Source organism: Homo sapiens, chromosome 8, assembly GCF_000001405.40.
Source record: "Homo sapiens chromosome 8, GRCh38.p14 Primary Assembly".
In the NCBI taxonomy this organism is placed as follows: domain Eukaryota; kingdom Metazoa; phylum Chordata; class Mammalia; order Primates; family Hominidae; genus Homo; species Homo sapiens.
The window spans coordinates 70,306,509-70,321,336 of NC_000008.11; the positions used below are offsets into that span (position 1 = coordinate 70,306,509).

At 36.6% G+C, this 14,828-nt stretch overlaps 1 protein-coding gene across 40 annotated transcripts in view; it reads right to left on the reverse strand.

The window, feature by feature from the left end:
• The window catches only part of NCOA2 (nuclear receptor coactivator 2), a 346,665-nt gene that overhangs the window by 196,727 nt on the left and 135,110 nt on the right, over window positions 1-14,828 (reverse strand). The window contains exon 1 of one of the 40 annotated variants that reach the window (XM_047421235.1): window positions 6,954-7,397. The exons of the other annotated variants lie outside the window; for them this stretch is intronic. The gene's annotated coding sequence lies outside the window, so the exon portion shown is untranslated. Of the gene's footprint in view, window positions 1-6,953; window positions 7,398-14,828 lie in introns of those variants that run through there. 40 annotated transcript variants of the gene reach the window in all.

A 14,828-nucleotide genomic window follows, 5' to 3' on the forward strand; every position in this document is an offset into this window, starting at 1 on the left:
CATTCCAACACCCTAAGCATACAGAATAACAGGAGCTACCTTTTGTTATGAAACAGATGCCAGTTCCCCTGCTATAAATTTTACATGCTGGTCGGGCTCAGTGGCTTATGTCTGTAATCCCAGCACTTCGGGAGGCTGAGGTGGGAGGATTATTGAACTCAGGAGCTCAAGATGAGCCTGGGCAACAAGGCGAAACGTCGTCTCTACAAAAAATACAAAAATTAGCCAGGTGTGGTGGCGCGTGCCTGCAGTCCCAGCTACTTGAGGGGCTGAGGCTGGAGGATTGCTTGAGCCTGGGAGGTTGAAGCTGCAGTGAGCTATGTTTGTGCCATCACACTCCAGCCTGGGTGACAGAGCAAGACCATGTCTCTTAAAAATCCATTTTACAGATGAGGAAACTAAGAGAAGTTAAGCAATTTACTCAAGTTAAAGCAAGAGGAAGAAATACCAACTGAATCCAGGTCGTTCTGAATTCAAGGCCTCCACTCTCCCAGGTTGCTTCTATTACTGCTTCTTCTGCCAGGCTCCCTTCTCTGCAATTCTTGCTCTACCCAACTCCTTATTCCCTCAAAGAAAAGGATTTGATATCAAGAAGATACTTTCTAAAAGCCAGCCTTACACAGCAGTCACAAGCACCAACTTAACAATGAGTTACCCAAAAAGGTTTCACTAACAAGATTATTCAGTTATTGGCTGTTGTACCTACATAAGCAAAAAAAAAAAAAAAAAAAAATAGAAGAAATAATACAATATTGCAGGATAAAAGACAGTGAAGAAAAAAAAATTTAAGGCTGTGACAAAATGAGAACTTTACTTGACACAAGGAATTTCATTAGAAAAGAAGACAATTCTGAAACCTAAGGTGGGAGACAGCTAGGAAAACAATCTATTGTGGCTAAATTTTTCTTCAAACTGGGGGTCCCAGAGACCAAGAATGTATATAAATGTCCATAAAACATCCATGAAATTTTCTAATTTCATGCTTTCATTTTGATGAAAATCTGAAATTACTTAACATATGGATATGCTAAATCATGTGGACGACCATTATATAACTGATAACTTATTGCCATTTAATTTCAGGACTTCCATTTGTGCTTACATTCGTGTTAAAGATGAGTATTTTAATTTCTTTGAAGTCAAATCTTGAGAGGGAAAGTTTTCTATGAATTCAGTAAAGAAAATTCATGTGGAGTATTTGAAACATCTTCACACAGCTACTAGCAGTACATGCTGAACTCAATGTAACCTGAGCTCAGCAGATTATACACAGCAATTTTGTTACAGCCAAATACGCTTGCATGGTAGTGCTAATTTAAATCTTATCGATTTGGTAGTTTTGTTTATATTTAGTTAGTAAATCTATTTTTGTTTTATAGGTCTTAATTAAACTAAAATCTTCTGTATTGAAAAGGAATCTAGTAACATACTAAACTGGCTGCTTTTCATAGGAGCCATTAACCAAGTTAACATTCCCAATTATTTACATAATAAATATGGCCATAAAATGTAGATTTTAAGAATCATTCATGTACATGTTTTGTTTACCAAAAATTTCACTGACAAATCAAAGGTCCTACCAGTGGTACCCAAAATATGTCTCTGAACTGTAACTAAAGAACAAAGTCTTTTAAAACTAAAAGAAAAAATGTAATCCTTTTTTATAAAGCTAAATTTCAGTAAATGTGAAGAATCTGACTTTATTATAGATTATGAGCTTACTGTTTCATGGGGCTAAATTTTCCTTTTATTTTCTGAAATGGTGATGCTAGTAAGTGGTCATTTTCATTTTCATATAATGACTTGACAAAATTGAAATTGTGGCACTCCTATGCCAGTTTGCAGATTTGGGAAAAATTTTTAAATAGAAACATGAAATCATAATCTGGGTACTACTGGCCTACAAGTTATCTACTATGAAATGAGGTGTGTGTGTGTGTATCTGTGAGTGTATTTATACATACACATATATGTGTGTGTGTGTATAAATATATATATATATAAAACATGTATATACAAACACATACAAATAGATATAGATACATAGTTACAGGTATTCTCCTCTGGGAATTTCTATTCCATGGGGGAAATTCATTTGTAGCATGAACTCCCAATTGGGAAGTTCTTATTTCTATCAAAAGGAATCTAACACCCCTCTTTCTAGCCCATCTAGGACAAAGAGCACTCTAGGCAGTCAGGCCACAAACTACAGCATGGAGAGAAAAGAGGAGCTATTACCATTTGATATCTAAACACTTGGAAATAGTTATTTTGCTAGACATCCTAGAATAAACCACAGCCTAATAGTGTTAATAATAATGACAAGACAACAAAAACTCTGAACAGAAACTGTGAAAGATTAAAGACAGCAATAAACTCTTTGCTGCTACTCTCATTGAGAACTGAAGTGTAACCGCCCTTCCCCTGAAGCTGGGGTTGCCTTAATGACTGGCTTGACCAAGAGAATATAGCAGCAGCAGTATTTTGGGACTTCTGAGCCTTGATGCTTCAGCCTGGGACTCCTGAAACCCTCGATCTTAGCATTCTGAGCTGCTACGTATGTATGACTGCCTTGAGGCTGCCATACTATGAAGAAGCCCAAGCTGGCCATGTGGAAAAGCCATATGAAAAAAGAGAATTAAATGCCCAGCCAGGCCCCATCTATTATAGCCCCTGACAGTTCCTGGTCTTCCCAACTAAGACTCCAGATACAGAAGAGACAAACCATCCCTATTGTGCCCTGTCCAAATTCCTAACCCACAGAATTATGAGCTATATTAATAATAAATTATTGTTTTAAACAATAGATAGATCACCAGAACAAAAATGAATCGCCTTTCATAAATAGTAATAAGGACTTAAAAAAAAAAAAAGAAACATCTCGGGCAGACAAGCTGGAAACCAGAATGGCAACAAACACAAAAAAGGATTACGATGCTTAAGGATAAATAAAAATTAATTAATTCATTTACCCAACAAAGATTTATATACAAGGGATATATAAACAGGGATATATAAAGGCTCTGGGAATATAATGGTTTAAAAAAACAAAAAAAGTCCTACCTTCAAGGAACTTACAAGAAAACATTATGTATCATAGTGGTATCTTTCTATATACAGTACTTAAATTTTTTTTTTCCCCACAAAAATTGCTAGCCTTGGCCAAGCGCAGTAGCAAGCACCTGTAATCCCAACACTTTGGGAGGTCGACATGGGAGGATTGCTTGAACCTAGGAGTTCCAGACCAGCATGGGCAACATAGTGAGACACCATCTCTACCAGAAATAAACAAGAAATTAGCTGAGTGTGGTGGTGCACATCTGTGGTACCAGCTACTCAGGAGGCTGAGGCAGGAGGATCGTTTGAGCCCAGGAGATTGAGGATGCAGTGAGCAGTGATCACGCCATTGCACTCCAGCATGGAGACAGAGCAAGACCCTGTCTCGAAAACAAACAAACAAACAAACAAAAAAACGAAACCAAACAAAAAATAGCTAGCTTTTTATGGACATAACCAACAATTCAGATCAAATCAAAACACAGGCCAGGCGCAGTGGCTCATACCTGTAACCCAGCACTTTGGGAGGCCAAGGAGGGAGGACTGCTTGAGGCCGGGAGTTCGAGACCAGCAAGACCAGCAAGGGGCCAAGATGGTGAAACTCCGTCTCTCCTAAAAATACAAAAATTAGCTAGGTATGGTGCGGGGGGTGCCTGTAATCCCAGCTTCTTGGGAGGCTGAAGCACAAGAATTGCTTGAATCTAGGAGGCAGAGGTTGCAGTGAGCCAAGATCACACCACTGCACTCCAGCCTGGGTGACAGAGCAAGACTCTGTCTTCCCAAAAAAAAAAAAAAAAAAAAAATCTCATAGAGTGACCGAGAGTTTGAGTTCCTCTATGAGAAGGAAGTGAAGATTGAATCAAAATCCCACAAAAAGTTATTTGTAGTTTGTAGTATCTAAACACACTTTAGTTAACTATAGTATATAATAAAATGTTTGGGTTCTGATTTCAGACCATAAATTCAAGGCATGCGTAATGAATTCTTTTTATTTTTTCTTCATAAAGTATCAGGTTAAAATATCTTTTAAAGATACACTTACAAATGTACATAGTAGACCTCTTCTATTTTACTATAGTCAAGATTCTAGGGCCTAAAATGGGCAAAGCAAGTAAGGTCAGTAGTAAGCTGTTGTTTTAACAAGATTTATTTCTGTCTAGGTGTGCTACAATTCAAACAAACACACTCACTATTCCAGTGACTAAAATAATTTTTAACTGCTCCTTTTATTAAAGCATAGACAATTTAACCTTTCATAATATCATCCTCAGGGCTCTAAAATTATTCACACCTTTCTATTTGTAGCATTTCTCTATTCAAATTTCATACAATGCCAAAAAGAACACAAATAGAGAAAATTATTCTACATGGTATTTTTAAATAAAAGAAAATGTCTGATATCACATTGTAAAAGAACAACACAGTAAATAACTATGTTTATGGTCTCTTAGGCAAAAGACCGTAGTATGTCTTAAAATCATTAGCACCTAGCACAATGTCTCGGTAGTAGATTCTCAGCAATTGTCTGTTGACTGATAATACATTTATTTCCTAGTTTTTTTTTAAGTGTGTCCAAGAAAAATAAGCAATCCTATTTTTTTATCCCAGTAATATTTGAGGCAAAGAAAAAAAATGTTTTCAAAAGAGGTCACAAAGAAACATACCTGCCCTTTTCATTTTCTCTTGAAAATATTTTAAAAGGAATAGGGTGGGGGAAAGTGGTAACAAGTGCTATGTGCTCTAAATGTCAGTATCGCACAGATGACAATGAAGCAGTAACAGAATTATAAACTAACTTGTATTTTCTTTTCTCTCATAATTTCAGTTTTAGCACATTACATAGTAATTTGTCAGAATTTCTTTTTTAAAATATGATGCAAAAAAGAAAAAAATTATCACTGCTAAAAAGCAACTTATTAATTTTTTACCCAAAACACAGTATAAAAGTCGTAACAGTGTACTGCACAAGAACATCATCAGGATCTTTAAAATAACAATACCAACATTCCATTATAAAAAGTTGCAATATCTGGGAAGAAGATATTGAAGAATGTCTTACTTAACAGACAGCTCATTGTTCTCTTCTAGACTGGTCTAGAGACTGGCCATGGCATCAGAACATGCGTCAGAAGACCTGGCCATCTTCCTGGATCTCTGTGAGACCCAAGGCCAATCACTTAACATTTCTAGTCCTCAGTTTCCTCAGTGACAAAAGGAGAGAGTGGCACAATTGTCCCTAAATCCTGTTTAGGACTAAAAAAATTCTACCATCCTCAAATAAAGAGCCATTAGTCTAAACAAGGTTTTAAGGCATCCACATCTTCTATTTGCTTAAGGTGCAATTATTTCCTTAATCTTGCACTAAACACTTTACAAGTTTCAAATGCCTAGAGATAGACTACTTTCTTATTTTATCTTTACAACAACTCTGTGAGGTATGTTGACCCTGTAATTTTGATGTGCATTAGGAAAATGCCTAAAGGGAGGCTGAGTGAGGTGACATGGTTTGATTAAAGTCACTTAGCCAAGAAAAACCTGGAAATCAGATCTTCTGACTCTAGCTCAGTGCTCACGCAAGAGATTTCCAGAAACAAGCCACTTTTAAATTCACAAGAACTACAAGGAAGGGGAAAAAATGGTGTTTATTTTTAAATGAATATACTGTTTCTTTAAATCCAATGTCATAGTCTTAAATTCCCTAAAACAGTACAATTTTAGGCCTTTATATCTCAAAATTATTTTCAAGACTCCTGGAACAAGAAAATCCCAGTGGCTTAACACATTATCAAAATATTACCATCTATCAGGATTTCCTAAATCAATGTATCTTTCTTGGGGAAAAAGGGGGTCTGTATGAAATTAAGATTTGGAATATTTGTAGATTAATAATGCACATAAGGTCTTTAGTTTAATCTAGCATTTCACAAATTTGCTGACTGATATATACTTCAGACTTTTTATAAAATACCAACGGTCATTCTAAAGCACTTTTGTTCCAATGAACAAAATCATCTTGGAAAACACTTCTGTGTATTTTTAAAAGATGATCATTTCCTAAATAAAAAACAAAATTATTATAATTTTTCCTTATTTCTCTAACATCCACATTTTCATCTTTTCTGAAAAGGTAAATTATCTTACTATTTGTACATTTAACACGACAGTGTCCCTTTTTTCATTTCCTGAAAAGCTGTTGACCCAATATCGTACTTCGTAATCAACAGCAACTTGGAATAGAGAACTATGGTAAAAAATCTTCTCGTAATCTTAAAGTGTACTCTCGTGACACAAATGACATGACATCATATTAAAAGGTCTCCTTCTTAGCTAAATCACATACCCAGAACTAATACTGAAAAATCTGGGGAGACTTCAATTCAGATGAAATGTATACTTTAAATACATATTAGCAAAGACAGGTAATTGGGGGAAAATGTACATCAGAGAAATAACATTTGAATCCATCTTAAACTATTACAGAGATCTGTATCTAAAATTGGGAACAAACATTTACAGGTAAAGGGGAAGATAAATTACTTAATCACTGAGCCCATTAACCTACTTGTAACATGGAAGTAACTATTAATATAAGTGTGGTTTTGCCCTATTTATAAAATAGCAAATGATGAGGCAAAGGCTAATTAGCTAATCTGAATTTATCTTGTGCTCATGATTTTATAACACTAGATATATCTATTTATTCCCAAAGGGATTAGGCATTTCTAACCCTTCCTCTAGGCAACGATGAGTTCCCTAATAACCAAACAAGTTTCTTTTTACTTCTAACTAATAATGTTTAGCAAGTCCAAAAATACTTTCAAATGCTTTTGAAAATGTAAGGCAGCTTAGAAATAAGCTGTTTTTAGTAATGGTATTTTAGAAGTGGTATAACTTACCACTTCAGGCAAAGAGGTATGACTTGTCACTGGTAATAGTGGTAACTCGGGAAGCTGAAAAGAGTTATTTTGAGAAAATAAGAAATTGTGGGCTCTAGTCTCAAACCTCACCCTTCACCTCATATATATGAAATGTTATGCTTCTGTAATTCACAAATCAAATTTCTGTTTAAAACTGGAAGAATTAACAACAGAGTAAGTTATATATTTACTTTTAAGGTACACACACGAAAAAATTTTTAGGAATAGAAGTACTCAGTGTTGGCTAAAAGATTTTAGATATTTCAGTCACTTCCTAATCCTTAAAATGTTTATACAAGTTTCTCCCCACTTCCTCCACCATCCCCCTATTATATCCATTTTATAATTCAGAAGGTGATCTGTTAACCAGGCCATAAACAGAAAGTAAACTTCAAAAACAACTGCTGGCCGGGCAAGGCGGCTCACGCCTGTAATCCCAGCACTTTGGGAGGCTGAGGAGGGCGGATCATGAGGTCAGGAGATGAAGACCATCCTGGCTACGGTGAAACCCCATCCCTACTAAAAAATATATATATATATACAAAAAATTAGCTTGGCATGATGGCGGACGCCTATAGTCCCAGCTACTCGGGAGGCTGAGGTAGGAGAATGGTGTGAACCTGGGAGGCAGAGCTTGCAGTGAGCCGAGATCACGCCACTGCACTCCAGCCTGGGCGACAGAGCAAGACTCTGACTCCAAAAAAAAAAAAAAAAAAAAAAAAAAAAGCAACTGTCATGTCCACAAATAAATGAGTAAGTCATATTTTAAAATAAAGTACAGAATGCCACAAAGACTCATAAAGGCATCAAAGTACAGTATGCTTCACCAACCTATATTATCCTATTTCTATCTATGGACTAAAATTATATAAAGTGACCTCTCTGCAAGTGAGTTTAGACTCCAAATGCTAGATTAAGGAATTATGTCTAAACTACTTACAAAAACAATAACAAACAGCATATTTTGGAAGGTCACATTAAAAAAATTGAACTACCATCTCCAGTGCCTAAATTCCATGATGTAATAAGCCTGTATGATGGATATAACAAGAAATTTACACTCTGCAGATTGTTAAACTAGAACAAAATCCCTGAAACATTGAAAAGTGAGGGTTTTGAAATGTTTTTTAAATATGAAACCAAGCAGCATTCATTTCCTAAATGTAAAATATAATTTAAAAAATAATGAAAAGGATTGTTATTTAAGCATTCCAAAATTGTTTTTCAGCAACTGCTATGCTTTTTTAGAATATTAAAACTGTATTATTGTATGTGTGAACAAGACTGTTGTCTTTCTCAGTTATATAATGAATTGAGAATTGAACCATGTTTCCTAAGGCCTACAAGAGAAACGCAAGTGTGCTATGTAATCAATGCTTTCTAGTAGACATTTCATTGAACTTATTCATTTTATCTAGCAGGAAGGCAGAAATGATAAACGCTGATGTGGGTTGATACCACTCACTCCTACATATCTGAGCCTTTTCATTTATTTGAGTGTCCTAAATCTCCAACATGTTCAATAAAATACTGGAAGGTAAAGAAGTTTTGACGAGCTAAGGAAGGCAATGCACTGTGCCTCACAATCACTTTTTGCCTATGTCTTACAGAAATCAAGTAAGATACTTGACACTGATTATAAAGGGATGATCATCTAGCTTGTTGATGATGCTGATGATACAAAAGTCATTCTATGTTTGATTTCTTCCTCTTTTCTTTCAGGTGTCTTTTTGGGCATTCAACACCTCTAAGAAAAAGAAAGAATTGAGAAAATGAGGTAAAATTCCAACCTATGAAATTTCATTTCCAGCAAAAACACTTAAAAAACAAAACAAACAGAATAACCTCTTAGAGACCCAAAAGAAAATACATTAAAACACTAAAAGTGGTTGTGTATGGATGACGCCATTATGGATAGATTCTTTCATGTCCACGCCTTCTAAATTATAACCATATTATTAATACTTATATTTAATACCAAAACAATAAAAGCATTACTGGGAAAGTAAGTTAAATGATTCCAAACATTTTAACTACCCTGACCTTATACTACACAAGACAAAGGGGAAGTCGCCTATAAAACTTGACACTATAAACAAATACAGAAGTATCTCTTGCTTATTCTTTTCTTCCCTATCTGTGTTAACAAAGGGAAAAGGAATAAAGGAAAAGAAAGCCATGAGGACACACTCACAAACCAAAACCACAAGAAAAATAATCTAAAACCAGACTGCAGGAGGCAGGAGGAAGGCACCATTCTCTATAAGAAGTGATTTTGCAACACTAATAGCAAACCCACATTCCTGCCACAAGCCTCATCCACAACCTAATGCTTTCAAACAGGCCACACGGCTGGCGGCCCTGAGAGCCTTCCAGAGAGGAACCAAGATAGAGAAATCAGGAGGGCTGAGGACTGAATTGAGCCCTAATCTGATTCCAATGAAACACTGCCCTGCTGGGGTATAATATTATGGTAGGCAGGAATTAATAGATGACGGAACTTCTAAAGAAAATTCCTAAAGGAACACTGCTTTGAATGTGAGCCTCTTCCATTAATGATGAAACAGCTGAAGTACTGCAGTACATGCTTTCTAGGGAGAGTCATCCGCACGATGCATAAGGTAAGGAAAATGCAGCATCACCTTCAGAAACAATACAGAGGGTATGCCTAGATGAAAAATCTGCTCTCAGTAAATAAACTATGTTTGTGTGAACATTAAGAGTCTCGTTTCCTCTCGAGTCAAAGCACCATATGGCTGAAAGCAAAGTCTTATTAGATTTGGAGACTGAACTGGTTTATGAGGGCTCAAACTTGTTCAATGAGCTGTTTTAAAGGCACTATGTTTTTACCAAGTCCTGGGAGTGTCCCTCATGATACTACCTCAACCAACTCCAAGAAGCCAGACACCTTCCTACACAAATGCCAAACACTTCATCTCAATCCCGATAGAACTCTCTAAAACAGCACTCTGGTTTTGTTTCCAGATCATTCAAGAAATTACTCATTCAGATCCAGCAATCCCACTTCTGGGTATTGTTAAACAAAAATTATGGGAGGCCGTTGTTTTGGACTGAGCTCCTACACTAGGTCCCAACAGACCAGACCAAACCAAACTGGAATTACTCATGCTATGCCACATAACCAAACGGAAACTTCAAGGTAGGAGATAGATCCCAAAACAGATCAGTTTTTTTCTGAAAATGGGAGATTACAGTCTTCCTGAGCCAGTGTAATAAGGAAGTCCCCTGTGCTTTAACCCTTACCAGAAAGTAACCGAAGTAACCTGATGTTAAATAAAATAAAAGCCAATCAAATCTATAACTAAACTTCTTGTAATTTTGTCTTTTGGTAGTTCTGGTGTCCAACAGTGGGACCTGAAAAACACTGCTGATGACGCCCGAGACCCATGGGGAATGCAGGAGAGGTGTTGCCCACCTCTTTTAAAGTCCCCTGTCTTCCTCACACTGTTCGGAAGGTTGTAAGTTCCTCACGGTTCAGACTCTGATCTCTGCGTGGAGCCCCTGGATAGTTTTGGCTTTTGAACTCAGGGTTAGTTTGTGCTATAAGAGAGCACATGAACTCTTGGGGTTTGCAGTGGCTAGCAAGAGCTACAGTTTTAAAGGCAATGTACCGCGGTTGCAATGAGTGGCTATGATTGCAGAGGGTGTGATCTCCAGGTTTCAGAATTCACAAAGATTTGGATTCTATCCTCTTTGTTTCTTTTTCTTGTGTGCTTTGGTAGGGGGAAATCACTGGCTAGTCAGTCAAGGGGATCCCAGTGCCAAAAGTCACAACTTGACTGGTGGACCTGGTTCAAGCACTTAAGAGCTGTTAGATTAACCAGACATGAAAAAATAAGACTGTCGTGAGAGGATAAACTGGACACAAAACACAGCAGTGCCACCACCTTCAGGAAGTATCTGCACAAGAAGGCACACCAAAAGCATTGCACAACCCAACACTGTGGCATTTCCCTCTTAGGCTTTTACCTCAGATTTGAGAGATCCAATATTCAACATAAAAAATGAGATCCTTAATTTCTAAAGAACTAAGTACTCCACCTTCTGGATAAACCTGTCTTTTATATGAGTAAGTGTTAGGTCCCAGAAGCTACAAAATACTGGCAAAAATGGCAAAATCACAACAAAGATAATTTAGAATTACAATGGCCATTACATGGAGCATTTCAGATAAACAGCACTGCACTTTAAGAAGTCCATTTAAAAATAAGGAGTCCTAATTCAGGCCAACCCAGGGGCATCTATTGGTATGTAGAAGCTTCTAAAAAGATTTCAGGCCAGCACAGTGGCTCATACCTGTAATCTAAACACTTTGGGAGGCCAAGGCAGGAGGACTGCTTGAGGCCAGGAATTCGAGGCTGCAGTGAGCTACGATCATGTCACTGTATTCCAGCCTGGGTGACAGAGTGAGACCCTGTCTCTAAAAAACAAAAAAAAATGAAGTTTTCAAAAAAAATTGTTTATTGCCACTTTTAAGACACTTTACAAAAGGAAAATGAAACACTTAAAACTAGTTGACAAAAAAATTCAAGTTGCAGGCCATTTCACTTAGTTACTACCTCACCACAAAAACAAAGGAACATTGGGAAAGTCTTATAAAAGTTAGGCCCTCAGGTCAAGCCGGTTTGCTTCTTTTTCAGAGCTTTCCATGCTGAGTGCAGTCATAATGCTTAATCAGCCCTATTTGTTAATGTGCCCCACCTGGAACTCAATAAGCCAGTGAAGAAACAGAAGCTAAACTGAAAAGCCACCTAACAAAATTTGTTTCCAAAATACGCCTTTCTGGCATTCAGGCGGTTATTTTGAATAGGCTTCTGAATGTTCTCCTAGGCTCATCTGTGTACTTCCTTGTAAAATTCTGCAGTGAATTCCTATGGCTTTTTGTTGCCTCAGCATATCTTTTGAATCCTCCTCTGTGGCTCCCTAACTGACACACCTGAACCTAATTCTCCTCCTGCTCAGTGCTCTTAAAAAGTGGCTGGCCAGGCATGGTGGCTCATGCCTGTAATCCCAGCACTTTGGGAGGCAAGGAGGGCAGATCACTTAAGCCCAGGAGTTTGAGGTGAGCCTAGGCAACTAGGCAAAATCCCATCTCTACAACAAATACCAAAAAAATTAGCTGGGCTTAGTGGCGCCTGCCTGTAGTCCCAGCTACTCGGGAGGCTGTGGGAGGATCATTTGAGCCCAGGAGGTTGAGGCTGCCGTTAGCTGTAATCACCACTGCCCTCCAGACTGGGTGACAGAGGGAGACCCTGTCTCAAAAGAAAAAAAAAGAAGGAGGGGCTATCTCAATAGGCCCATCAGGGCAGGACTACAGTTTACAGCCACTCCCCAGGCAGAAATCTCAAGACCAAGTCATAGGAAAATACACTGTATCCAGTTTTAGCAGAAAATGGGTGTTTTGTCCACCCAGATGAGCTCTGGAGATATTCAGACCTAAATTTTAGTCCACAGTCTCTATACCATTGACCTCTGACAAAAGGCAATACGCCCTAAGCTCTTTCTTGAAAAAAACTTCCATTTTTTCCCAGTGCCTTTGAGAAGTAAACTTTCCACATTAACATTCACGCCTTTCCAAGTACAAATTTAGGGTTGCCTAGCTAACAACTGACTAGAGCAATGAAACGGGAAAGACGGATAATCTGAAACAGGGAGAGAAACTATTGGGAAACTGGCATCTGTACATTTGTGTATGTCTATTATGCATGTTATATACCTTGGATGATGTTTCTGAAATTTATAAAGAGCTCTATTTAGGCCAGGCATGGTGGCTAACACCTGTAATCCCAATGCTTTAGGAGGCTGAGGTGGGCAGGTCGCTTGAGCCCAAGGGTTCGACACCAGCCTGAGCAACATAGTGAAACCCTGACTCTACAAAAAATACAAAAATTTGCCAGGCATGGTGGTGTAGGACCATGGTCTCAGCTACTTGGGAGGCTGAGGTGGGAGGATCACCTGAGCCCAGGACGTGGAGGTTACAGTGAGCCGTGATGACACCACTGCACACTAGCATAGGCAACAGAGACCCTGTCTCAAAAATAAATAAATAAATAAATAAATAAATAAAAGCTCTATTTAGCTGGCTTTTAAAAAGTGATGCTTAAATAAATATTCTCTCAGAAAACAGAAACTAATGTCTTTTACTTCAGGTGATCTGAGATAATCTTTGGTAAATAAAGCTAGTTTTAAAATTATTGTTAAAAATGTTTTTGGAATTGCTAACATCAATTATAATGCAAGCATACTTTCTTTAAACCTAGTTTTACTAGTCAAACAGGCTTGTTATCTCCTAGATATTTAAGACCTTAAAACTATAAATCCAAGCTTATTGCAGAATACTCATGAAAATAAATTGCTTGATACATGTCAGACATGGAGGTAAAAGGAAGAGGGAAAAACCAAGTTTAAGTTATTGGTTTCTTTGCTTCTGTGATATTTTTAACTGTCCGATTTGTCAAAAAATATGATGATGGGTAGCCTTGTTTTCCATGAGCAATTCAAACATAACTATTAAGAATGAATAAATTAGGTGAATGTGAATAGTATAAATGTTTATAAATTCACTTTTCAAAATTTTAAAATTCCTTTGCAGTAACGTGAAATCTTAAATAGATATTCATGAAATGTCTGCCTCATTTCTATGTAAGTTAAAATGCTGAAACATTAATTGCTGAATACAAGTTTAAAGTATATGTATTTTGACATCTTGTTTTTATATGGAAGCTATATATCTGGGTCTGTTAAAAAAAACATGAAGAAACTACATTATGAGAAAAAGTGTTCTAAAAATTTTGAAACAGTGCTCATCTACAAAATGCTGATACACAACAGCTCACAACTGCTTATTACTTCCTCAGTTTTCTCTATAAATTAAAATCACTAAGTTAAAAACTCTACTATATGATAATTAAAACTAGAAATAAGAGAAAAAACTCTTTATGCAAGGAAAGGAATGTGGTTTTTTGGTAAGTCAGGCTTACATGAAAGATATGGTTTTATTAAGAGAAAAAGATAGTAATTTTTGTCCTAGAGTGACTGGTTGTTCCAATATGAATAAAAAGCATAGGCTATAAGAAGGGTTGTAAAAGGTTTGTGGAAAATGAAACTTGCAAAAGAAATTTTACATGCAATCAAACTGGCTAAAATTGCAAGGAAATTAAAAGTTTTTCTAAAAACTGAGCATATATATCAAAATACACTAACACAAAACAGGTAATCTGATACTCTGTTAAAAAAAAGGTTTTCTTGGAGGAGTATTGATCTGCTCTTAATAAAAAATAATGAAAGGTTTTTATCTTTTAGGTAACTGGTCTCGAAAACAAGGATTCTGTGTTTTATCAGTATGATTCACTGTGCATATTGTCTTTAGTAAGTGTTATGAGTTATCTCTATTAAAGAACTAAGGTTTTATCTACAAATATATAACTTTCTGTATTTGCCTTTTGAAATCCTTTTATTATCACACTGATTAAATGAATGACTACTATTTCGCAGTGACCTGTGATCCTATTTTGATCAAGTGTTTTAAACCTTCAATAATTTTGACAAGCTTCCCAAAATCAAATTCTAAATTAACTTTCTGAGCTCCAAATTAACTTTGGGATTTTCTTCTAGGCCCCTGGAAAGCCTCAATGGGTTTTCTATTGTTTTGCATTTTGAGATCTATTGTACAGCATGGAAAGTATAGTTAACAACAGTGTATTATACACATCAAAATTCTTAAATTTCAAATGTTCTCACCACATAAAGTTTTCAAAATGAGGGATATGTTAATTAGCTTGATTTAATTATTCCACATTATATTCATAAAATATAACATCACTTTGTTTTTTT